General features: G+C 36.2%; 1 protein-coding gene and 1 long non-coding RNA gene across 32 annotated transcripts in view; one reads left to right on the forward strand and one right to left on the reverse strand.

Moving 5' to 3' along the window:
- The window catches only part of RAP2C-AS1 (RAP2C antisense RNA 1), a 214,305-nt gene that overhangs the window by 149,626 nt on the left and 38,992 nt on the right, over positions 1-25,687 (forward strand). The window lies entirely within an intron of this gene.
- The window catches only part of MBNL3 (muscleblind like splicing regulator 3), a 120,716-nt gene continuing 96,216 nt past the window's right edge, over positions 1,188-25,687 (reverse strand). For 15 of the 31 annotated variants that reach the window (NM_001386916.1, NM_001386910.1, NM_001170704.2 and 12 more), the window contains 6 exons: positions 24,011-24,202; positions 22,715-22,951; positions 18,529-18,679; positions 16,531-16,566; positions 14,046-14,140; positions 1,188-11,545 (listed from right to left, as the gene is read on the reverse strand). In NM_001386916.1, the coding sequence (NP_001373845.1) occupies positions 11,534-11,545; positions 14,046-14,140; positions 16,531-16,566; positions 18,529-18,679; positions 22,715-22,951; positions 24,011-24,190 (711 nt within the window). In that variant the 5' untranslated portion in view covers positions 24,191-24,202 and the 3' untranslated portion in view covers positions 1,188-11,533. Of the gene's footprint in view, positions 11,546-13,226; positions 13,301-14,045; positions 14,141-16,530; positions 16,567-18,528; positions 18,680-22,714; positions 22,952-24,010; positions 24,203-25,687 lie in introns of all 31 variants that reach the window. The other 16 variants (NM_001386901.1, NM_001386892.1, NM_001386902.1 and 13 more) reach the window with 8 other exon arrangements.

The following is a 25,687-nucleotide window of genomic DNA, read 5'->3' on the forward strand; positions in this document are numbered from 1 at the left end:
TCTTTGCATTGCTCAATTTTAGCAAGAATCTTGCCAAGTTGGTTTAGCCAGAAGCCCACCCTTGATATCTGATCAGGTTTCTCATCCTCTACCAACTCCCAGTTGATGTCTTTTCACCCTGACCTGTCTTCAGCAAGAATCCTGTTAGGTCAGGTTAGCCAGAATCCACCCCCCACCCCACCCTGCCCCTTATCTCTGATGTTTCCTCTTAGTAATCTTCCATCCACTGTCCCCTACCCTGCTCCTTGGCTATAAATTCCCAGTTTTCCTTGTTGTATTTAGAATTGAACCCTGTTCAATACTGAAATCTCTTTTCCCATATGGCAATAGTCCTGAATAAAATCTGTTTTTACTGTTTGAACCACTGTTCACCTTTGGCTTGCTTTTATAACACATTACAGAAGGCAGAGGGGAAAGGTGAAGGGCACGCCCAAGGGCAGAGCACGAAAGAGTGCTATGTCAGAGTGTAGACTATTCCATAGATATTGAGGAGCTGTAAAGATTTTAATCAGGAATCGAAATAATCCACCATCTGACTTTAGGAAAATGACTCTGGCAGTAATGTGGAGGATGGAGCAGAAAGGAGAAGGGTCAAATGGCGCAGCACTGAATACATTCATAATCATAATTTTCCAATTATTTTTTAGTCTGTTATTACTAAAAAAGTTATTCTTGGACTGACTTTTCCCTAAGCCACCCTAACAATATCTAGAGCTGTATTTTTTTCCCCCATAGGAACATTTCTCCAGAATGTGGAGAGTAGAGGACAACATGTTGGGATGCCTGACACTCCTTGGATATTGTTCCTGAGTGGTTTGGGTGTTCCTCTGGATCCAGAATTTCATCCCAATGACACTGAGATTCCAGGCTTCTTTAGTATTTCTGATGGTGTCCATCAGAAGAAAGGAGTTGCTTATTAGAGTGTTCTCTACCGCTGGCTTGTAGTTCAGTTTATGGTAAACACTTGCTTATCACTGAGGTTTTGTATATGAATTGTGAAAATGGGGTGTGATTGTTAGAACAAATACCGCTTGACTTTCATTGGCAGCCCTTTCTGTGAGCCCCAAATTATGACCACTGTTTGCAGGGATTCTTATGGGTGCAAGTTTTCCTAGTATAACTACCCGTAAGTGGATTTAACTTGGGACTTTTTTCATAGAAATTGAGAAGGACTGAAACACTTTGAATAAACTACACACACATTTATTAAATAGTGAAATGGTTAACAAAGGCACATCAATAACCACTTACTATATATACAGAAATATATATAATTAACATGGATCCAATTATCTCATAACTGCCATTTTTTCCAACAAAGAGTCATTCAATTCTTCATGTCATGAAGGTTAAAGGCAAAGTCTTAGTCCCCATCTTATGCTTTCCCACCCTCTTCTTGAAAACTACATTGAACCTCTATGGGTTAATCATCGTCTTCTGTAGCCATAAGGTCTCTGCAAGCATGCTGACTGCAGGCTCCTCAGATTCTTTCTCCATTCCCTCAAGTCCAGTTTTTAATGAACAGGCTGTTTGCTTTAGCAGGTGCTGTTGCTGGTATTCATCCAGTTACACTATGATTTTTTAAAAATAAATCTTTCCTTGTACTTGTACATGCCTGCATTGCATTGCATCACTTATGAAGAGATAGCTCCCTCTCTCATCAGGAAAACTGGATTTGTGTGTCTATGTCTGTTGCACTTTGCACCGGATGCCCTGCCTGCCTTTTCACTGTGTTCTTTCCATGCACAACAGAAAAATGCTGGGCTGCACTGGCCAGAACTGCCATTGTATACTAATTTCTGCATCCACTTTAGAATGCTGTGCTTTTGCTTTGGACATGTTTGTACAAATGGGAATCAGATAGTCTGTCCCTCTCACAAAGCTATTTCCTGGTGGCTGCCCTTTGTATCCAAAATCCTCTGTTTGGAGCTCTTGGCTTTTATTCCCCAGACACCCACTGTCCTCCTGCCTAAGGGAGTAGTGTAAGTCAGGCACTGAACAGAAAAGCTGGGAAGGTTTAGTTAAATGCGCATTTCTAGTACAGGAAAGAGCCAAGTAGAAAATCAGAGAATGTGTGTCCATCTGTTAAAGTTTAACAAATATAGGCTTTAAATTACTCCAGAATTATAATCATACCTCAGGCCTGTCATTGTATCATGCCCTCTACAGATGATGACCATGGGAATGGATTCTGGTCAGTGGAATTTTAGGATGTTCACTATCTATTCAGTATTTTAGGTTCATTATCATATCAGAACTTTCCAGATAATAACAAAATTACGAGAGTGTTCATTTTTTGGCCTTCCTGATGTGGTGAATGACTGCATTGCTTATAGGAATTCCATCTCTGCACCTAAACACTGAGATTCAATGCCTAGAAGTTTGCTTAAGTAAAACATATTTCCCTTATCTATGCATGTAGGTGTCTGATATTTGCCCATTGGAAAGTCATGCCTTTTTAAATGTGAACACTTCCAGGACAGGCAGTATACTAAATACGGCCATTCTTGAACACCATAGGGTAATTTGTCTCTTAGATCTCAACTATGAGCAGTTCTCCATAGTCTGAGAAGCCCAACAGGAAAGCACTTAAGGGGAAAAGTCCAGATCTATCAGAGGAAACAGGCCTGATAAGTTGCTATCATGAGGATTTTCCAGGGCCAGAGGCCACCATGAGGGATGAGAAAAGGATGCTGTGAAAAGAATTTGAAAAGTACCCAAGACAAACTTGGTTTACATCTGGTTTTGCCTGTGGGTCAACTTTCTTCCAGCCAATAGAAACTCCAAGTCTCCAATTTGATGATGGTCGGGAATGCTTGCCCTGAATTCTTACCTAACATTCAGCAGCCTCAAAGAGAAAGACATTAACTGAATTCTGAAGAGGCCTAAGACCTCTTGTAAATGTCTATATACTGAACTGTTTTTAGTGCTGGTATTATCAGACTCACAGAAACACCTACAAAACATTAAACGGCTCAAAGTGGGCTTATCAAGAAATGCCATCATGGGAACCACCTTAGAAATAGTAAAACAGGGCACAAGGGGCAAGAGAACTATGTATAGGGCAGCTGACACTTGACAAGGACCCAACCTCCTCCCCGACCCTCTTCACTGTTAAGAGACACATCAGTAATACTTTGCTCTGCCATAGCCTCTGATCTAAACTCTCTTCACCGCAGTTTTCTATCAGCCCAACTCCAGAACAGTGGTCAATGCAGAGAAGTTCCAGATTCGCATTTTTGAAGCATTTTGAAATAAGGCAGAATAAAGTATTACTAAATTACATTTACTTTCTTAAAGAACAAAAATGATCATCCTTTTATTACTGTGCCATTTGTTGAAGATAACCAATTTTAAGTGAGAGAAAACATTTTAATGGAAAAATTCATGCATCTCATTGTTATGAAATGATTGATGCCCATCTGGAAAGTATGAAATAAACAACACTGGTTTCATATGTTACACTAGGGATGCAGGATAGACATGAATAACTGGGAAAGAGAAACTTCTAATAATGCATCTTAGAATATGCCTCAGGATTTCTGAGGCACAAGAGAAACTAGTAAGCATTCTCTCAAAATTTTAAGTATTCTTTTATTAAAATAGAAGTGTTTTTCTTGTGTCAGTAACTTCAATCTTATAAGAGTAATAGGTCTAACACAACGGATATATTATCTACATAATTCAAAATACTGATGGTATATTTGGAAATAAATTTACTCTATGTATGAAATATAACATTGAGCCAAATCAGAAATTTAAATTTCATTTTAGAATTACTAAATATTAGGATTAATATACTAGAGCATGAATAGCCTTCAAGTGAACTCCTAATGTGTGAATATGGATTCATAAAAAAAGACATAACCAAGAAGTTTATGCATTTTATTAGAAGAACAAAAAATAAACATAGAAGTAGCATACTAAAATGAGCTGCATAATGTGCACTTTTAAACATAAACAAGCACTACAGCACTATAACTTGAAAAAAAATCAAAGCGTCTGCAGTTGAGGGAATGAGCTATTGCATTTTGGAGGAAAATTACTATGGGAAGAGTTGGTACTCATGAAATATTCTGGTCATTATTTAAATATGTTACACATGGCTAATAATTTTCTTATATATATTTTTAATCGCCATTTTCCACCCAAATTATGTGCCTCCATTTTTCACATTATTCCAAATTGTTGTTATATGAATGCACAAAGTTAGTCCTTTAAAAAAGAATATATTTAGGAAAATCCTTCAAAAGTTTTTTAATTTAAATCATTGTAATTTGGGAGCATGGGGACAAATGGCTCATTTTCTGTTAAAGCAGCAACAATAATATTAAAATATTATTAATATTATAATATTAAAATAATATTAAAATATTAATAAATAAGTTTATTTTGAAAAGGGCATTCATTCCCATAATCCAGTGATATGATGGTCATATCATTCTCTCAACTGCTAGACACAAAAGACATAGCAACAAAGTAATTTGTTTCCATCACTAACAAATAGCATCTCTACACAGAAATAAAGCTCTGGAACCATGCAGTTTTATGACAGATAAATCTTTAGGTTGTGTGTTTTCAGAGAAAAAAGCACTGCTTAATAGTTAGGTTACTTTTAGGTCTTGTTACAGAGGTATTTTTTAAAAAACTAATATGATGTAGATGCCTAGCAAGGATTTTGCAATATCTGCAAAGAGCTGCGACTTATTTCATAGTCATACATTTTTTTTACATATACCATAATTGTGGATGGATTCTATTTAAAGATAAAATTTCTCTTCAATAATCCAGCTTTTGAGTATTAGTGATTCTCTTACAGGCAAGAACAAGTAGAAGAGCTGGAAACTGCACAAATTAGTCAAACTAAATATTTTCTTGAGGTTAGTAATAGAGGGCTTTTTTTGGGGGGGGGCCTCAGTTACATCCATTTGTTTTACTTAATTCCCCAATTTGTCTTATTTATTGAAACACAGCCTCTATGTTGAAACTCCAGAGTATGACCCCGTGGCTGTCAGCATGCACACCATGCCATCTATTCATGGGGTATCTTTTGTGATGCTTCTACAGTTATTCCTACTAATTTATAGGTGATTTTTCCTGACTTAAAATGTCGTATCTCTATTGACCTTAGAAAAATACATTCTTGAATCTGGCATATTCACAAAGAAATGTCCATATCAGTACATAGGTTAAATTGGGAAATTATGTTGGAGATAAGGCTGAAGTTGGAGTTCCTAACTACAGAATGAAGGAATGCTTACATTTTATATCAATGGAAATGCTGGTCAGATTGTCAGGCTGTTTGTTGTATGGCTAACTCTAAGTGATTATGGGCTGAGGGAAAAGAAAATTCTAGCCAACTGGCCCTGAGGTATTGGACAACTGTAAGGCTTGGATTGCTTTCTGGCTTTGGCTTATTTTTCTTTCTCTGTAAATGAGAACTATCAAAACGAGTAGCAATACCAACTCCACCAACCCCAGGATGGGTTCCTTCTCTAGGTACTACAAGTACCTGTAGTGATCAAATGCTTAACCTTTCTAACCTTGACCTCTTCTAGGCCTCATTGCCTGGGGGCAAAAAGAAAGTTAACTGGCTATCTATAGGTGGCGTGGGAGCTAAAATTGGCAGAGATGGTCAGATTGAAACATTGTCTTCCAGCTCCTGTGTTACGTAAGATTTTGGCTGGTTCTCTTCTGTTTAGTTAAAACAAAACAGTGGGAGGCTGAAGTGGCACAGTTAACTACTTTGTAATCTGGTAAAGGTAGGTCAAAAAACAGCTTCCACTGAACAGGTATAATGTAAATGAAGCCAGTTATAAAGTTGTGCCAGGAGCATTTTTTTTCCCTTTGTTGAAGGGAATGAACGGCCCTATGCTGGCCATCCTTAACTGTTAAATATCATCTTTCAATGGTTACCGATTTGGTTTTGGTTACTGGATCTTAAAGGAGGAACAATGGTCAACATTAACAATTTGTCACTTAAATACCTATTAATTGATAAACATTTTAACTGACACATATATCAGCTGATCACTTTCTGTGAAAGATGAAATCTTATTCTATCATAACGGTAATATCTATCTTGTAATACATGAGGTATTTCACTGCTTACAACCACTGAAAAAGGAAAACTTGTTCTAGAAACTGCCCGGTGTGTGTGTGTGTGTGTGTGTGTGCACACGTGTGTGTGTGTTTATAGGGGGGATTAATTTAAAAAGCAAACAATCTTTGCTAATGATCTTGTTAAAAGATGAAGTTATTCTACTCTTGTTCAGTGCTGTTAGCTGAGGCTGACCTGTTACCTGTTACTAGCCTTCTCTTTTGGTGACCTGTAGCAAACTAGAAAGCCTCCGTAACAGCAAAGCAACATTATGCTTTAGTTAAGTCTTAGAGCAAAAACACCCTCCTTTTCAAAGCCTTAGAAATAACTCTCTCTTACTAACTTTTCCACTATTATCACAGACTTCTTACATTTAAAAAAAGCTCCAAGGATTGCTTTCATGGACTATGTACATAAGTGCAAAAAAGGTGTGTCTCACACATCCGCACCCTAACTGAGACAGTCAATTAACTGCAGCATATGTTTCTTAAACACTGTTAAGGGGTCATTCCACAGTATCTTTATGTATAGTTTTAAAAATATGAATTAATTTCAAAAGAGGCTTTAGTCATACATTAATCCTCATATAGCTATATTTGCTCATGTAATTCCAGAAAACAGAATTTTTGCAGCTACAGCTATGCCACTTGAATGGGGTAATTTTGAATTAAGTTATAAAAAAAGTTAGGTAATGTATTAAAAATGCAATGATTGCGTTTTGAAGTCTAAATACTGTGGAATAACCCTATCCACACAACAAATTCTATAAACTATAAAGCCTGATTCTAGAATCCATGTGTTATAAACTTTTTCACAAAAAGTCACACAAGGACACAAATTCAGCTTTTATATATGGGCCTTTGGGATTAAAAAAGAACTCAACCATGTCTGTTTTCATAGTTTTGAGCTGTATTTTCTACAGGCTCATACTGTCACAAATCACCTATAGTTTACAAGTAAAATGTTCACATACACAAATGTCTAAAGGTAGCCATGTTGTAATTTTGTTGCCAAAGCAACAACTAAATATAATTAGATAACAATTATTATTTGTATATAAAGTTAAATTTGTTCTTAAATTGTGAACTGTAAAGGATAGTTTTGGACTATAATCTGTATCTTGTCATACTTCAGTGTCAGTTCAGAACCTAGCTAGGCGGGCAGAATCCATGCAGTAAAAGCTTAAACTTTCTTTAACTTTCCTTTGAAATTAAATTGATTAGTTACTTAGAGCTACAAAAAAGCAATAAAATGAAACCTTAAAGATGAACAATAAGAAAAATGAAAATATGGTACCAATTAGTGAGTTATATTTACAGTTTGATTAGGCTAGTAACTAAATTTACAAAAAAAGTTGTTATACTCTTGGACATGCTATTTATTCTAGTGCCTTCTACAGGCACTGGTTAAACAAGGCTACTGTCTTAGTATATCTATTCATCAGAATTGGGAAATCAGATTTCCCTCATAAATTTTGCCTATTTCTGTTTCAATGTATGTGAAATGTATTTGAGAGAAAAATAATGAGGATTTCAGTTTCTAATCATTCTGTACCTCATAGCCTACCCTACAGACTAAAGGAACTCGGAAAACTTGTGGCTGCATTTTACCTAAGAGCATCCTTATCTATACTCTGCAATGAGGGGGACAAAGAACCAAATAACATTTCAAGTAGCACATTAACTTTCTCTCTTATTTAATAAAATGTAATGTAAATGTCATTCCTTATTCAGATACCACTATGCTTATTGGTAATGCTACTTAAAACAGATTCAAGTTGCAAAGATTAATTTCATTCAGTTTCTGCTGATGGTAGGGAGGAGGTACTTGCTTTTTCCCAAATTGGAGAGCCGGTGAGCTGAGGCCCTCCCATTAGTGAACACCACCTAGTGGTATAGGACAACACTTATGGCAAGATCAAAGTGCTTCAGCATGTTCAAAAACGGATGAAAAAAATTGATGGAGTAGAGAGAAGATGACTTTCCACATCATGATTAACTACAAATTAAAGCCTCTGATCTAGAAAAGTGAAATAAAATGCCACAGCTGGTTGTGGAATCATGCTTCAATTACAAAAGTAAATACTGTATTTAAATAGCAATTTTATGAATCCATTTATTTTAATTTAATCTTAATCCCTCTTTAAAATATACGTATGTTATGGTCACATAGTACTTTTTTAAAAAGTTGACACTACTAAAACCCTCTTAAAGATAACTTTTAGATTATTTTCTCTGTATACATGACCCGTTTTATCCAAGTTTCAGCACTCTTGCATATTTTTTGCAAAAGGCTGAGAAAAATGGACAAAAACAATAAATTTGGATAAATAGAGGCCCCTGTAAAATACAAAGCTTATAAAATGTTAACTAAGAATCATAAGTGATTAGAATTTTATATATACAATTCATCCAGTAAATTTTTGTTTAGAGTCACTGATTAGTTTTGTGACTTGTCTTTTTAAATGGAAATTTATAGTCTAATGACTTATCTTTCTTCTTTTCTCTTTTCTTGAATAAAGATAATTTGAATAAGTCATTGCACATCTAGTTTAAAGAGTGCTATCTTAAAATTGTATTTTTTTCTGAAAACTCTATTGAATTTGATCAAAACTTTAGGGCTTTGAGCTTTCTTTCTTTAAGTTCATTTAGAAAACAACTTTTAAAATGCCAACAATGTAGAAAATTGTGGCACCAAAAATACAGTGGCCCTAAATACCCCTCACGGAACCTTTTACTTTAAGGTAAGTCATTGTTAATGTCTTCCAGTGCTTAACGCAACATGAAAACAGCTGTACTGTAGGTCTATTATCTATGGTTTATGTATATCTTTGCCCAAAGTTGAAAAAGTTAAGTGAGACAGTTCACTGCATGCAGATGTCAAACTACACAAAAGTTCATTTTGCACAAAAAAGTTCTTGTCTCCTTTAAGGAATATATCCAGACTAGCTCAGGTGCATCCCTCCTGGATTCATGTAATCAGATCTGCCCTTCTGGAGAGGCACTGGCACGGATCATACAAAACTCAGTTCCATACATGATGAATTTCAAAAAGGCATACACTACTTTCTTCTATAGCAATGTTAAGATTTCAGAAATAGAAATTAACTGGTTCAAAGAGTCCATAGGTAAAGGTCAGGACAACTCTTGATCTCTAATTCCACGCAACATTGTCAACAGCTGACAATGACTCAATACAAGCAAGGCTGTTTAGAAAGCACTGTTGATCAGGATTTGGATGGATAATTAAGATCAACAGAGTATCAATTCCCAGAAAGCTAATTTTGCTCTCTTATATTCTGAGCCAAATGGGTCTGCTTTGGAAGAGAGCATCAAATGTTCTGAAGCAAAAACAATGTGAAAAGGAGGAACAATGGGAAGCAGGAGATATTTCTGGGTCCCACAATGGCTAAGGTAGCCTTGGGCAAGTCATATGCCCCTGGATTCAGTTCCATCAACTATAAAAAGGATTTTGCTAATTCCATTGTTCTGTGATTCAAACACTTCTAGCCAGCTTAAGGTATCCTCAATCAGATTTGCTTTTTACTTGTCATTTTCATGAAGGAGAAAAACCATTATATATATATATATATATGTATATGATGGTTTTATACTTTCTGGTGGAAGAGCGCCTATTTACTAGAAAATATTAAATCTATTACTTGATGTAAAATGTCATGTGTTTCCACCACTGTATAATAACATTAATAAATGAGTAGAGTGGATGAGATATGTCACACACCACAGGAATTATTTGGTTGTAAAATTCTTTCATAAATATTAGTAATGTGAACTCAGCTGAGCTCTGTGGAGTATAGCCACTCTGTCTCATTCAAAGGGTGATAAAACCCTTTCTATTGTCATTTTCAAACATATATAAAGGCAAACGAATCCAAACAAGCATAAAAGAGGCTTGGTTATGATGTGAGAGGGTCTGATGTTAAAGTTTGGGCAGGGGGACACTTGCCATATATCACAGGTGCTTTCTCCTTCACTGAACTGTTTAACAAAACGAAACTCAGTTGAACCGAAGCTAAAGACAACTACAACCATCTTTCCCAGTTCTTTTGAATAAATCAAGGAATAATTGTAAGTGCTTCCCTGTTCCCTGTCCTAGCCATTTCTCCAAGCCTGTACTCAGGCTCCCTCTGTGATCAACAGAGAAGACTGTCCATTTGGGGAGGGAAGTCCTCATTTGCAACCAATTCTCTTTCACCCTGACTGACTTTTGCTAGATTGCATCTTACTTGTTATTCAAAGAGTAGTCTAAAGAGCATGAGCCATTTGCATTTGGAAAATGGCATTTGTGTAAAAGGTGACATTGCCATGGTTTTACACACTTTCCTCCAGTACGTAAAAACTATCTCCATGCCCCCATCTCTCCGTTTGATTTATAACTTGTAATTAGCATATTTTTAAGCTCCCAAGTACCAGTTTCTCAGCTGAAGATGACAAATGGCTCAGTTTTAGACACTCAATTTAGGAGATGGGATTCTCAAGCCACACACACAAAAAATCTAATGAGCACTTTACATAATTTTTAGTATAAATGCTGAGAAATTCATTTAAAGGTAAAGTCTTATTTGCCAAGCTATTTAAGAAGAGTGAATTAGGGGTTAATGTTTTATGAAGTTCTCTGCTTTGTGCAGGTAATTATTTCTCTCTTTAAAAAATCTAGTAATTTGATTGTATTATGCAACATCAGATCTGCAGGTACAAATTATACACATGCATGTTAATGAGCAGGTTTTGTGCACATTCAAAAGTGAGGCGTTTTAAATGTCAGTCCCAAGAAACCTACAGAAATATTCTAAAGAAAGAGAGCATATTTGCATGAACCTGTCATGTTCTTAAGCACATATACTTCTGTTCCCCACTAATAACACTTTAGTTGAAATCAAACACCACACATATACAGCAAAACACTACAGTATGTAAAAACCTAACACAGCACAACACAATACAACACAAGAAATGGTACTGAATATATTTGTTACATCCTGAATCAACCCAATAGACTATCTTGTAAACAAAATAGTAAGGTAACACTTCAAAAACAGATGAACAATTTATCCACCAAGAATGTATATAGTAAGCCAAAAGCTCACTGTGGAAATACACTTAGCATGGTTATTAGAAAATCACAAAGAGTAATGTAACAAGTTACCAAATTTTATGGTCATGTTCTGCTTGATAATTCAAATAGGATGGATGGTAGTTACTAGTTTTCTATTTGTGTTGTTTTAACATCTCCATTGATTTTTAATGCTTTATTTTTTATTTGAATTTGCTGGCTGGCAGGTTTGCTTTGCTTAATACATTGACTGCAACACGCTTATTGTTGTGTTGGTAGAATAAGACATACGAGAATATATATAGAAAGGCCATATGGAGGTTTCCATGGAAAGATTCTGATACTCCATAACTCTGCTGTTCAGAATTTCAGCTGAAATGGAAAAAAAAAGAAAGAAAGAAAGAGTGAGAAATATTGAAAGGTTATTGAAGGAAGAGTCAGGAGAGTGTGGTGGGTCTTGTTCCAGTTCTGTCTGTTAACAGTGCCAAAATATCCCCAATCTGAATTTCAGATTGAAATGGGGCTTTTGAGAATGATCATGAAAGAACCATATATCTATGATAGTCTATGATACCCTTTGAGTGCTAATGTGGAGAACTGTCCTAACAGAGATGCAATCCAATGTTTAAGGCATTATCTATCTACTTTTTGTTGAACATACACCCATGTGTCCACCTTTCAACAGGCATGTACTGAGAAAACATGTTTGATACCGAACATTTTGAAATATGCAAATATTAAATACACTTTCAACTTTTTCTCTGAATGTTTTAGAGCCATGCAGAAGTAGCCTACCTGTGAAATCTGGGTATTGTATTGTACAAAATTACATTTTTGAACTTTAGAGGAATTTTTAGCACCTATTACATATTGAAGTGATTATGTTCTGCCAAATATCTCTACATTTCTAACAAAATCAAGCAAGAAGGAATCACTCTTCCCTAACATGCTCTGTTGGAAAGTTAATTTGACAACTTGTGGTTACCTTGACGTAAAGCAGCCCATGAAAGTTGGGCAAGTGTTGGCAAAACCTACATTATCATGTTTAGTGCTATTTCCAAGTTGCCACTATCCCAAATGACACCTCTGGAAACAATGACAATTTATAGCTCCTTCAGTTATCCCATGTGCTCAAAGGTGCCTTTTAAAATCCTTCCTTATGATTGAGGAGACCTATTTATTTAATGTCCAGTCGGCTATCTGCTCTGTCCAGAACACTTAGTGTTCTAAGCCCGTGTGTCCTCAGCAGGAAAGAAGGGCTAGCTGGGGTCTGGGGAACTAGTTCACGAGGGAACAGAACTGCTGCCTCCTTCAACCAAATGACACACTCCAGGTGTGAGAACTTCAAACTTTCGATGATGAAGGTATGCAATTCAGAGTTGGTACACTATTTTAGTAAGTCCCTAGAATTAATTAAAATACCTAGGAGTCTTAAGTGGCTTCAGAAATCACATGTTCTTAAGTGAATGATTGCTTAAAAAAGTGTGTGCCATGATGGGCACCAGGCAAAGAGGAGATTGAGGGTGAAGGAGAAAAAAAAAATCCCACAACAACAAAAATTTTAAAAAAGAGACATGATTGGAATGAAAATAATGACTCAGTTACTAAATTATGTCACTCAAAATTCAATACAATGTCACATGACAGGCATAGTGCTTACTGTGTTTAACATAATCATATCAGTCAAATCCTGAAAATTCTTGTTTGATCTTCAAAAAAAAAATGAAGCTATAAAATGGTTAAAGAATTACAACTCAAAAGTAATCTGTGCCTCTGGCTAACAAATTATATATTCCTTTAATAATAGGAAAACATTTAAGAATGTGTTAGCTCATTGAGAAAATACAGTACCAGCTGTCATTGCCATATAAAAAATATTGCATATTTGCACTCACATTTCAATTTGGAAAATTTATAATGTGTAAATCAAGCTCTACATCACAAGCAATGTCTATGAATGAAAATATTTACGAAAGCCTTTTAGAAGTGCAATTGTGTAAATAAAATATGTAGCCTATAAATATTATTTATATTAATACTGAAAGAAACTTACTGTTCTACTGAGAACTTCTACATCTGTGAAACAAACATGCTGCTATTCAGTTCATCTATTGATAATTGGGGTATCTATAGTAGTAAAAAAGATTTTAGATTAAAATAGTTTCTTGGGAGAATTCTGTTTATGTTGTTATATATGTGGATCTTTTAGTCTATAAGCATGGTTCCCACTTTAATAAGGCAAAATGGCCCTAATACTATACAATAATTATTGTATGTATCTCCTTATAATTTCAAGACTCCCCCCAAACTTATAATCTGCCTTGTGAACTCTGCCTAGAAATACCTAAAGCAAATAAAAATCAAAACAACAAGCACATCTAATGTCCATATGAGAAGGAACTTCTGATGTAATCACTGCGAAATGATAAGGATATCCATGTCTTGGAAAGAAATGTGATATTTTGTTTTCTCTCCAGTGGATCTGAAGGTAAAGGTGATGACTGTACTAAGCCAAAGTTTAAACACAATAATCAAAAATGGCAGTGAAATAAATTCTCTTGACCAATGAGGAAGCATTTAAGTAACATTAAGTATATACATTTGAGGATTGGTGTGTTACCAGTAATTAAATATAGAATATCAAGAGCAACATCTGGTAACCAATTAAAAATGAGCAAAACTCCTCTGATTCATCTTGGGATGAATAGCAAAGCACATATAGCATTCTAGAATATACACAAAAATAAAAATTCTAAATGTGACAATGGCTTAAGAAACACATAAGAATCTCACCAATCCAAAAAGCATATACTGTGCATTACCAAAACATTGTAGTTATCTTGATCTGAACAGCTTAAATAAATGGCCAAACCTGATTGCCTGTAGTTGGTGCAGCGAACGGAACGCTGGTGGCAGGTGTTGTTGCTGCAGACACAGTGGTAGGTGTAGCACCGTGCATCATGGGCACTTTCAGTTGAAAACCATAGAAGCAACACACGGGAGGGTAGAGGATTTATGCAACCATAACATTTACGATGGAATGAGGTGTGGTAGGTATCACAGCAACAAGCCATGTGACATCATAACGATGAATACATCAGGGTGTTCATGCAATCACAGTCAGTGCAAAGCAACACAGCATGGAAGGGGGGAAAATTAAAAAGAGAAAAGGGGAAAGCCAATTATAGTTACCAATATGGAAAATGGAACCATTCTCAACATTTAGTAAGTTTTTGAGCAGAATCCCATTGTAGTTTACTCAAAAGGCTAAATTTTCAGAAGGGGCTATAATGAATGCATATGAAAACAAAAATCCAATGTTACAAGGGCTATCTATCTGAAGCTAGTTAAGCAGACAAGTAACTGGACTGCACATTCAAAATGGAATTAAGGAATCATAAATTGGAATTTAGGTTCACTGACTTATGGACATGAATGCCGTCACTAGATTTGCAGGTGCAAACAGGCAGTTATATGTATACTTACCTGATCTGCATGCAAAGACATGGTAGGTAGACTGGTTGGTATGTGGTAGGGGGGCAGATATGAAGAATACAGTGGACTATGCATGCAGGTTTTTAAGTACACCTCTGGCAAACTCCTGGGAAACTTTGGCCATTTATCAAACAAATACATGGAGTACTTCACAGTAAATCTTGTCTTCACAGCAACTATTATAGCTACAATGGTTAGCAGCTGTGAAATCTCTTGCAGGATGTTTTATCTTTGCCTTTTCTAGTTTCTATCTCATTTAGAAAGCGTTTTGGGTGCTTTCTGATGTCTAGCTCATTTCAGAAAGCAAACCAGGGAATTAATGTGTGAATGGCAATGTGTGAATGGCAAGCATGCATATGTAATAATTTATCATGTCTACATCAATTAAATTCAGATTTTCTGAAAGTCTAAAGAGAAAATGAATGGCCAGAGAAAAATTAACATGTGCAATGTCATAGAAACTGAAAATGTACCCCAAATGGTGATTAACAGAAACTCCATAGTTATCCCTTCCATTTATCTCTAGTTACCCATTACCCAGAGCCATCCCTGTTGTCTCATATGCCAATTCTAAAAACACTCTTGTTTTCCCTTTGGGAGTGCAGCAATTGTACAGGAAGCAGATCCACTAAAGAATGCAGTTTGCATTCCTAAGCAAAGCTCTGAAGGTGAAAGGACAAGAGAGCATCTTCAAGAAAACTGTCACAAAACATGAAGGCAAAGACACATTTCTCAAACTTGCAGAAGTCTGTTCTAATTGTACACATTATGATTCAAAGGTATACATATTGTGCTCCTGTTGGTATTAATGGAAATGTTTATTAATTCCTACAGAAGACAGTCAAACCCTCAGTAACAGGGGCCTCACTTCCATTCCCAGGGTTCAGATCTCGCTATGTTAGTGAGTGCTGCTACTATGTGGTTGTCATTTTGAACTTTATTCTCAAGAAGCCTGTTAGTAGTGCTTTTGGGGCTCTGCATCTATTCTGGTCCACCAAGGTGACAAAGGTCAATTTGTTGCAAACTCTCAAAAGGGAGGGGATGGCCTGGATTGATGTGAGACGGTAGAGTGGGACGGGTTGGGATCATTTCTCCTTGCATAGAACAGAGCTATTTTCTCCTGGTCTGTTCCTTGTGCCCATGAGGACTGTAGGAGCTGTGAACTCCCCATTCCTTTCTCATGCTCTTCAGTATTAGTGCTGTATAAAATGGTTTAGAGATGGCTATCATATTGTGTTAGTGGCTAACAAAAGGATCTGTGTGCAACTGCTTGTTAAAAATCACGTAACACTCAAAGAGTCATTTTGAAATGATTCTGTTGTGCCTAGCTTCTGTGCCAATGGTGCTTCAGGCTAGAACACTACAGGATTCATTACAGAACACTGCAGAATCCTCTGGCTTTGCTGAACTCATCCTCTCGCAACATAGGAACATTGAATGCTTTAAGTCCTATAGATAACTTTTTCAGGTGGGAATTGTTTCATTGTACTTTACAAGTTATACATTTTAAGTATTTTACAATTTTTAAATAATACATGTTAAGCAAAGAACAAAACTGCCCAGTCTGGCTAGTTTCAAATATTGTAAAAGAAACGATTTTTTAATATTTCAGTTGCTGTTGTTAGGGTAGAAATAGAGAAATGACAGGGCCAGTATTTGGCCACAGTGGCAACCAACTAGGACTTGAGAAAGTAGGACTATTTTGATGCTACAAAGACATAAAACAGAAAGCACCATGTTAAACCTTAACATACTCAGAAAATTTCCAGCCACATCTTTCAGTCATTCATCTTTCATAGTCACAACAGAAAAACACATTTTTTCAGATTAGAAAATGTTGATAATTTTTGTAGAAAACCTACCAATATTTGAAGCGGGTGCCATGCACAGTATTGGCCCTGTACACCACGCAGAAAAGCGTGGAAAGTAAAAGAGATATTTGATTATTAAGGATTTACTGATAGAAATACATTTTAACAGAAAGATTATTTCTTTGCAATATCAATTACTCAGCACATGCAAGTCCAACAATCTCCCATGTTTACAATTACAGATTAGTTTTAAGGTCACAAACCCAGGTAATCAAAATAATTCTTGGATTCTTAGGTACAAAATCAGCTATAATTTTTCTTTAAAAGAATTAACTCACTTAAATTACATATTTATTGTGGACAAATACATCCTAAATAATTTTTATAATAAGAGAATTTTAATTTATTACACATATCATTTTCTAAATATGCTCCAGAATCTCGTATCTGGTGTCCGTGTTTCTATTTAGAGTATTAATCTGTTAACACTGTCTCCTCCACTGTCTCATAGTCAATAGGACTTGACTATGAATATATGGCAAAGAGGTTCCATTAAGAGAGACCTCTTAGCTGGACAGGCTTTTATGTTGCTACTAATTAAGGGAAAGGGAATTTTTCTGACATTTTTGCTTATGAAACTAGATTTTATGTTGGCCAAATCTGGCAAAAAATTCAAACTTGGAAACAAAGTAACTGTAGTATTAAGAAAAACTATGATGAACAGCATACATTTTATTATATTCAACCACCTTGACTAGACTTCCAGGGCTACTGAATTCATTCCACAGCTATAATACAAATTGGAAGTAGCCAAGGTAGAGTGATCTAATGTGTAGGTAAATTACCACAATTTTTGAAGAAAAAAAATGCTAGGAATAAAGTCATGTCAACTCATACTGGTTTTCTCTTTTACTCTGTAGACATTATGTGTGTTTTTCTTAGGTTGGGAGAAAATATCTAAATTATTAGATATCAGTAGTTACTTATTATAAGGGATGTAAGAAAGTGCTGAAGAATTCCATATTTCCTCTCAGAAACTATCATATAAATGTATACAAATTGTATAATTTAAATGATGGCATGAAGGACTGCTGTGGCTAGTAACTAAAGACTGGTGTTTTATGGTACCTTTCAAAATTAATTAACTGATTAATTTACTAGTTAACCAATAAGTTTTCTCAAGTCTGGGTATTAACAAGGATTTCTAAATTATTTTTTAAAACATATGTTATTTTCATTTAAAAATAGTTTCCAATCTTGGGCATTTACCATTGTGTCAAAAAAAAAAAAAAATGGAAAAAAAAAACTGCTGTACTCTCAATGGTTAGAATTTTCAATTTATTCCTAAGAGACTATATGCTCATTCTTAAACTACTAAACCACTGGAAGAAAATTAGTTTCCCCCCAATATATGATATCTAATTGAACAAATTTCTGGCTTAACATTTTCTGTTCAATTTCATGTAAAACAGGCTATTAAATATAGCTGAATGTAGGAGATAACAAAATATGCTGCAAAATGTCAGAAAATATAAACTGCTATGTATTTTATATTAACTGATTCAGGAGTTACAGGCTAAAACTATCTGTTTAATCTATATTATACTATATTATGCACTTAGGGTAGTTTTATTTTAACTACCTTTGGCATATCAAAGACATATTGACAACGCATTTCCATAATATCGAAGCTGGGAGTTTTTGCCTTTTTATTTGACAGCACTCTACTGTCTGTGACAGTGATACCTAAGAGTCAAGGAATTAGTTTGAGACTGAACCAAGTGAATTAATCATAAGCAAAAACCAACAAATGCTAAAAAGAAAAATGTTGATACTTTTTCCTAGTTTGATTTCAAACCATGAATTTTCATGAATTATAGAAAAACAAGTAGTTCTAGATACTAGCAGATAAGCATAACTTCCTTGTTTTATTTTTAATCAAAATACATGTCGACAGTCCTCCTATACAAGCTCTTTGAAAGCTGTTTTGCATTGTATACATTCACAACATCACCAAACTCGCTGCAGTGCCTAGAGCTGTGTTCTCACCTGCAGGGATAAATGCCGGCTGTGGGAGCTGCAGGTTAGTCAGAGCCTGTTGGCAGTGGAAAACAGTGGGATTAAAGACCGGGGTGGCACCATTGGGCTTTTCCAGTGCTGATCTCTTTGGTATCAGTTGCAGTGTACCAGGCTGCAGGGCCTGTGGGGGGAGAGATGGTACTAGTACTAGAGAAAGTAACAAATGTACTCAAACCAAGCAAGCACCAGTCATATAAGGTATTTCCTGGGAATCCTCCGTAAGGGTATGCATTGGGCAAGACACTGGATAAGCAGTGGCCCCACAGCAAGGTAACCAAATGTAGAGATAAGGGGGTTCACAGCCGTGTACAGTGGCTCACGCCTGTAATCCCAGCACTTTGGGAGGCTGAGACCAGCAGATTGTTTGAGCTTAGGAGTTTGAGACCAGCCCGGGCAATATGGCAAAACCCCATCTCTGAAAAAATAGAAAAAGTAGCCAGGCATGGTGGTGCATGCCTGTGGTCCCAGCTACTTGGGAGGCTGAGACAGGAGGATTGCTTGAGCCCAGGACGTCAAGACTGCAGTGAGCTGAGACCACACCACTGCACTCCAGCCTGAGTGACAGAGCAAGAGCCTGTCTCAAGAAAAAAAAAAAAAAAAAAAGAGGTAGTCCAACTACATGAGCAGTAGTGCAAAACAAAAAAAAATGCAAAAAAAAAAAAAGGTTTTCAACTTCACTAATTTAGACCTCATTTGGGCAGGATATGACAGAAAGCTACTACAGTAAACAATCATTTATAATTAATATCTCAGGGATACTCATCTATGAATCTATAAAAATGAGATTAGCAGAAGCAACAGATATAGCAGGAAAGAGATTTCTGCCTGTTAAAACTCCAATACAGATCTAGGACATAAATGGCATATAGGTGATAAAACAGATGTTGGTAGATCAGAGTCTGACACTGTCACCCCATAAAATAAAATCCAGTTTATACAAAGACTTCAGGTTCAAGTCCTATAATTATATATTTCCTAACTAACATGTAAGGAAAAAGCAAATGAATATTTCCTCCCCCACGACCTACCTCACGCAGGTACTATGTAGATAGTTAGCAAAATATATGCAGTTCTTATTTATAGAGGCTTGCTGTCCATTTCGGTATGTACCATTTGCTTTGTTAAGTTCTTGTAAGGTTTAATTCTAAAACCTATTAGCATTTTTAAACCATCCTTTCATGTCTACAGTTCTTTCAAAATCCCACTGTGCTTATAATACTCCGTGAAACTTGCCCCTGGATCAGATTCTTTGGAGAAGTTTAACATTACTTTACATTTTTTTTTTCTCAGCAAATTGCACGTTACTTAAAAAACATGTCCCAGCAACAACAATTAGGTATGCTCCAAATTCTTAAGGAAACAGGAATGCTTGTGTTGAGTAACTATCCTACCATGTGTCCAAAAGGGTAATGCCATGACCTCGTTCCTGTGGATAACAAAGGTCTCAAGGTATCTCTATTTTCTTTTGGGAACTCTACTGTCAGTGCACACACTGTGACAGATCTGCTTTTCATTTCACCTAAATAAAGAAAAGCATGCTAGAAGAGTGAGATAAAATAAACTGAGTAGCTTTAGAGATATAAAATTTCCAAATTTATCCCAGCAGACCAGATGGCAAAGGTCAGTACTAAAATCATAAACCATAAAACAAAATCTATCATTTCGAATGCCTTTTATTACCATTGGGAGAAAATGGTTTTGCTGAACATTTTAACTAAGACAGAAGACCTACTTATCTGGTTGTTAAAAAGATTTCCCTTTGGTATAAACGGGGAGTGTCCCCTTCTCTCTCTTGAAAGTTGGCAGCATGGTATGATCATCAGAACCAGTTATGTTCCCTAGTAAACTACAAATTGGGGTGAAACCTAGATGAACATTCAACAGGTAGACGCTGGTAAGGTAGTACTGCTTGTTTATTTATGGCTGGGGTTTATCCTGATGGGTCAGTGCCCAGTTCCAATTGGGTGGTGATTGTACTATTAAACTCATAAACCTGCCGAAGAGGTGTGAGACTGTGGATGAACTAAGTATCAACCCTTTATGTCTCTCTCTTTTTTTTTTTAAATACAAGCTGCTTTCTGTGAACTCAACCTGAGCTATATACATGAACAAGGTAAAAATGTCTCTTTTATAAAGCATGTCCACTATGAATCCTTAAAAATATAAAAAGCTTGAATTTCTTCATGAAGCCCTCCTTTATTTAATCTTACCTCTATCAAATTCTTATGAGCCAACTTGATCTCACTGCTAAGACCCTGCTGTGATCAGTTACTTAAAAGGGAATTTTATATTGATATTCACAAGTAACAATTGAAGGCCTATGATATAATATTTAGCTCTCTACGTGGAAATTTGAGGCTGACTTGTAACCTATGCATTCTATCAAACACACTCAAATAATCAGAAATGGACAGATGCATATGAAGCTATTTTCATAGCTTATAATTACCCCTTCAAAAGCATTTAAGACAAAAAGAATTTGGTAAAGTCTTTTTTAACATTCATTAACAGATTATGTTGTTCAGATCAAGGGAGAAAGTAAGTTTGTTCTACTTTGGTGCTCAGATCCTTCACGATGTAATGAGTTCAGTTCTGACAAAAAGTGGAGCCAGTCCAAAAATGGTACTGTGTCCTTGAAACCATAAACTACCAGGAAAAGGGAGCAATTTGCAGTATTTGGCTTAGACAGGAGACATGAGAGTCACTCTCACTTGGAATAGGGACTGACTTCTTTTGTGAAGTTCCAGTTGCAGCAAGATAAATTTCAACTCGGTATGAGGAAAACCTTCTTAATAGGGATGTTTGAAAATAAGTGTCTCTCTGTTGTGAATAGGCAAAGTCTCTGTCATGGGAGTCCAAACTATGAATGTTTGTGAGGAGATTTAGCTCACAGTGCATCTCCTGGGCTTCAGGGTCATGTCAGTGCTTTTTCCACACCCAGGGAACATGAGGTTTCCTGTGGGTTTTGTCCTTTACTGGGGCTGTTATGCCTTATTACACAAGGAAAGGTCCAGGGAGAAAAAGAAAGACATAGCAAGCAGCACATCAAAACAACGGACAGCTGTGGCAAACTTAAGTCACGAGAATTCCTGGTTCTCAGTGATCACACTGCAGTGTTACACAAATATTTTTCCTGCTTCCTACCTTTCAGTATTACTAAGCAGCACTAACTGTTCCCCCAAAACTGGCTTTCTACAGCAACTTAAAAGTCAGGACTCTGGGCTGCGCACGGTAGCTCATGCCTGTAATCCCAGCACTTTGGGAGGTTGAGGCAGGAGGATCACCTGAGATCAGAAGTTCAAGACCAGCCTGGCCAACATGGTGAAACCCGGCCTCTATAAAAACTACAAAAATTAGCCAGAAGCAGTGGTGCACGCCTCTAGTCCCAGCTACTCAGGAGGCTAAGGCTAGAGAATTGCTTGAACCTGGGAGGCGGAGGTTACAGTGAGCTGAGATCACGCCACTGCACCCTAGCCTGGGCAACAGAGTGAGACTCCATCTCAAAACAAACAACAACAACAAAAAACACACAACCACCCCCACAAAACAAAACAAAACAAAACAACAACAACAACAAAAAAAAAAAAAAAAAAAAAAAAAACCAAAGTCAGGCCTCTGCTCCCAACCACGTAGAAATTTCCCCCCAGACTAAGCAGGCTGCTGTCCTTGATACTATGCCTCTAGAGAGGAAAAGTGGCCTTAACCTTTAGGAAATTACAACCTACTTAATACCCTATCTTTTAAGTGCTGTGTTTTTGAAAGGCATTAAGGATGTTAGTAGCAAAGGGCCCATGAAAGTGGCTCACAGAGCAGAGGCAACTTTCTGCCTCTCTAGGATATTGAGGGTAGTGAAACTATAAAAGCACTCAAAAATAACTTACTGTTTAAATTATATAATTTACCCTTACTCTGAAAATGGGAGAAAGAGCACAGTAGGTTAAAAGCATTAGTAAGGCTTTTAAATAATTATCTTTAGAAAATCTTAGTAAATAAAGTAGAATAAATAGGTTCTTTCTTTTCCAGCTTATAACCTTGACTGTTCATATTAAGGTCCTCTCATGACCATCCATGAGTATGGTTACAGGATATTAGACAAATTGAGGAATATACAAAGCATTTACTCTGAAACAGGCCACAAGTGCAGGCCTTTTCTTACCATGGCAGAGGCAGCTGAATGGTTCATCTGATGATGAGCTGCCTTGAGTCTGGCTTGCAAGTGTGCAGGAGGATGAAAGTACTTGCATTTCTCCCGCGAGCATCGACCTTTGATGTAATCCATGCAGATTGTCACAGTATTATCACTCGCTTCAATCATGGAAGCATCAGTAGGGTGAGCATAGCGGCAATCATTCTCCCCACGGGTACAATTTCCACGCTGAAATTCTCGGCAAACCTTAGAACACACACATGCACATACACACGCATCACACTGATGACTGGAAGCTGACTGGCTTTTATTTATTTTGCTAGTGAATGTAACAGTAATTATATATACATTGAATATATTATGTGTGAACAAATCTAAAAAGATAAAGAATAATGTAAAGCCATATTCACTATGAGATATAAACAGACAGAATTTCTATTCCCAGAAAAAAATTCTATTCTCCCCAAAAGGAGGTTGTCCTTACATTGAAATAAAAATGTTTAAAAAAGTATTACTGAAAACCAGTTTTAATTCTCCAGTTAATACACAGCCTTAAGCATAATTAGTGTTTTTTTAAGTCCAAGATGAGTCTTTATCACACCATAATGCACTGGTTTTCCAAAGTCAACTTGTGAACCATAACTGAGTTATATGTACAATCAGATTATATTACAATACATTACTAGGCATTTAAGCGGCTGCAAATGGAGCTGACTTTGTAAGGAAAGACTAGTTATTTCAATGTACAAAGAATAACAATAGAAGAATGAAGGACTTCAATAAATCAAAAAGCTGTTTGAAATTTCTTTCAGATTTTCTTTTCTTAGGCATCGGGGTTATTTACTGCCTAGCACATCACTCTCAAAATGGAGAAAAAAGTTGAGGCACTATGAGACTAATTTACCTTCTGTGTTCATATAGCTTTACATTCTGCAATCGTAGAGAGTTATATTGTCTACTTTTTTCCCACTTTGATTATTCTAGCAAGTAGAGACTCATTAACAAATATAGTAATCTGTTTCTGAAAGCTGGAGCCTAGGTAAAAGGAACATTCCCACAGAGGCTTCCTGTGCCATCGCACAGTCTATGGCTGGGTACACTTAACATATTGTTTGACCTACCATACAGGTGAATCAATGCACTTTATAACAAGGTATGATTGCAGTACTAAAATGTTTAACAACCCTATAAGCTAAGAAATTTGGGTTCTCTTATTTAAAACAACACACTGGGCTCTGAGAATACTGCTTTATGTGTAAGGTTAATATCTATTCTACAGGTATTTATATATATGTTCACAAATACCTCCAGTTTATCTGAACGCATCAGTTTTGGGCCAACAGCTCCTGGCATTGCAAGAGGTGGGTTTCCAGGAATCAGAACAGGTGTATTTGGTACAAGTTCTGCAGGAACGAGGCCCATCCCAGGATGTGGTATGTAAGGATTGAAAGCCATGGGAGGATTAGCTGGAATTGATGGAGTCATAGGAAAAGAACCCTGTATGTTTAAAAGAGAAAAAAAGATGTTAGAGGTAAAGATTCTTCCTGTCATTACACAAAGAGGTATTCTTTCAGAAACATCAAAATTACTTATGCCACATCAAAATTTACTATTGTTTTCTTCTGATTTATTTTTAGCCTCATACTAATTCCCATAGAGGAGTTGCTTTTAAACCAACAAATCTCTTTACGTACTAACTTTATTGGTAAGCTCATAAAATAAGCCACATGATTTTAACAGTCATGAATTATCCAAATTAAATCTCACTGCTAGTCTGTTCCAAATGTGTTTCCTCCAACTCTTTCTTTATTCCCTAAAAACCATGTCACCAATGACATTACACATATGGACAATCTTCTTTGTTTCCTTACACAGGCATGGCCTTTGCATTCAGTCCCTTTCCTTCCTCTTTCCTCTTCACCATCAATACTGCTTGGCTGTAAGGCTGCCTGTCCTACCACAGGCCCCACCTGTACTACCAAATACTGGCTGTGCTTCTGTCTTCCTGGCCCACTGACAATTATGGAACACAGCAAGGAGTTGAGGAAGAAAGTGATAAATTAGAAAAAGTGAGTGCTTTAATATCTACCTAAAATGAGTTTAGTATGGTCCATTATATTTTGTTATTTTTTTAAATCAGAGGTCCTGTTTTTTAAATTTTTATGTGTACATAGTAGGTATCTATATTTATAGGGTACATGAGATATTTTGATACAGGCATACTGTGTGTAATAATCACATCAGGGTAAATGGAGTATCTATCACCTCAAGCATTTATCATTCCTTGGTGTCACAAACACTCTAATTATACTCTTTTAGTTATTTTTAAGTGTACAAGAAATTATTGTTTACTGTAGTCATCCTAGAGGTCCTGTTTCACAAGCTAATCTGACTTGCCTAGCCTTGTCTTTATCCAGGGGGCCAGATGATATTCATAGTTCAAAAGAAGGCACTAGAAATGCTACAAGAATCCCTGTTAGGCAGGAAGAGATAAGATAACAGGATTATATGGTACACAAACTAGAGTAACTTGTAAAAAAAAAAAAAACCTCAGAAATGCAAAAAGCTATTACTGCTTTTTCTATTTTCAAAGATCCTGGATTCAAAAAGTTTAATATGTGTATTTCCTTTATTATCTGTTGCCATATTATTTATCACTTTGCTGTTTTCCAGTTTGTTCCACATGTGGGTATCTTTTCTTGTCAATGTGGTTTTATTCCTTTGATAGTTCTCATCTCCCCTATAGTACCCAACACTTAGTGAATGACTGGTTGACAGATATACTCAATGATACATTTTAAAAGCTTAATGAATGAATAATAAATCATGACTAAATGTAGTATATTTCTAATAATGACTCTACAAGTTAGTTATTGTGAAACTGGTGGTGTCTCATTGTGTATTACTAATTGCATGTGTTCCTTCTTGCTTTATAAAATTTTTTCACTTGAAAAAACCCCCGAATCTGTTGCATTTGCCAAA

The sequence above is a fragment of the Homo sapiens genome, chromosome X, assembly GCF_000001405.40.
Source record: "Homo sapiens chromosome X, GRCh38.p14 Primary Assembly".
In the NCBI taxonomy this organism is placed as follows: domain Eukaryota; kingdom Metazoa; phylum Chordata; class Mammalia; order Primates; family Hominidae; genus Homo; species Homo sapiens.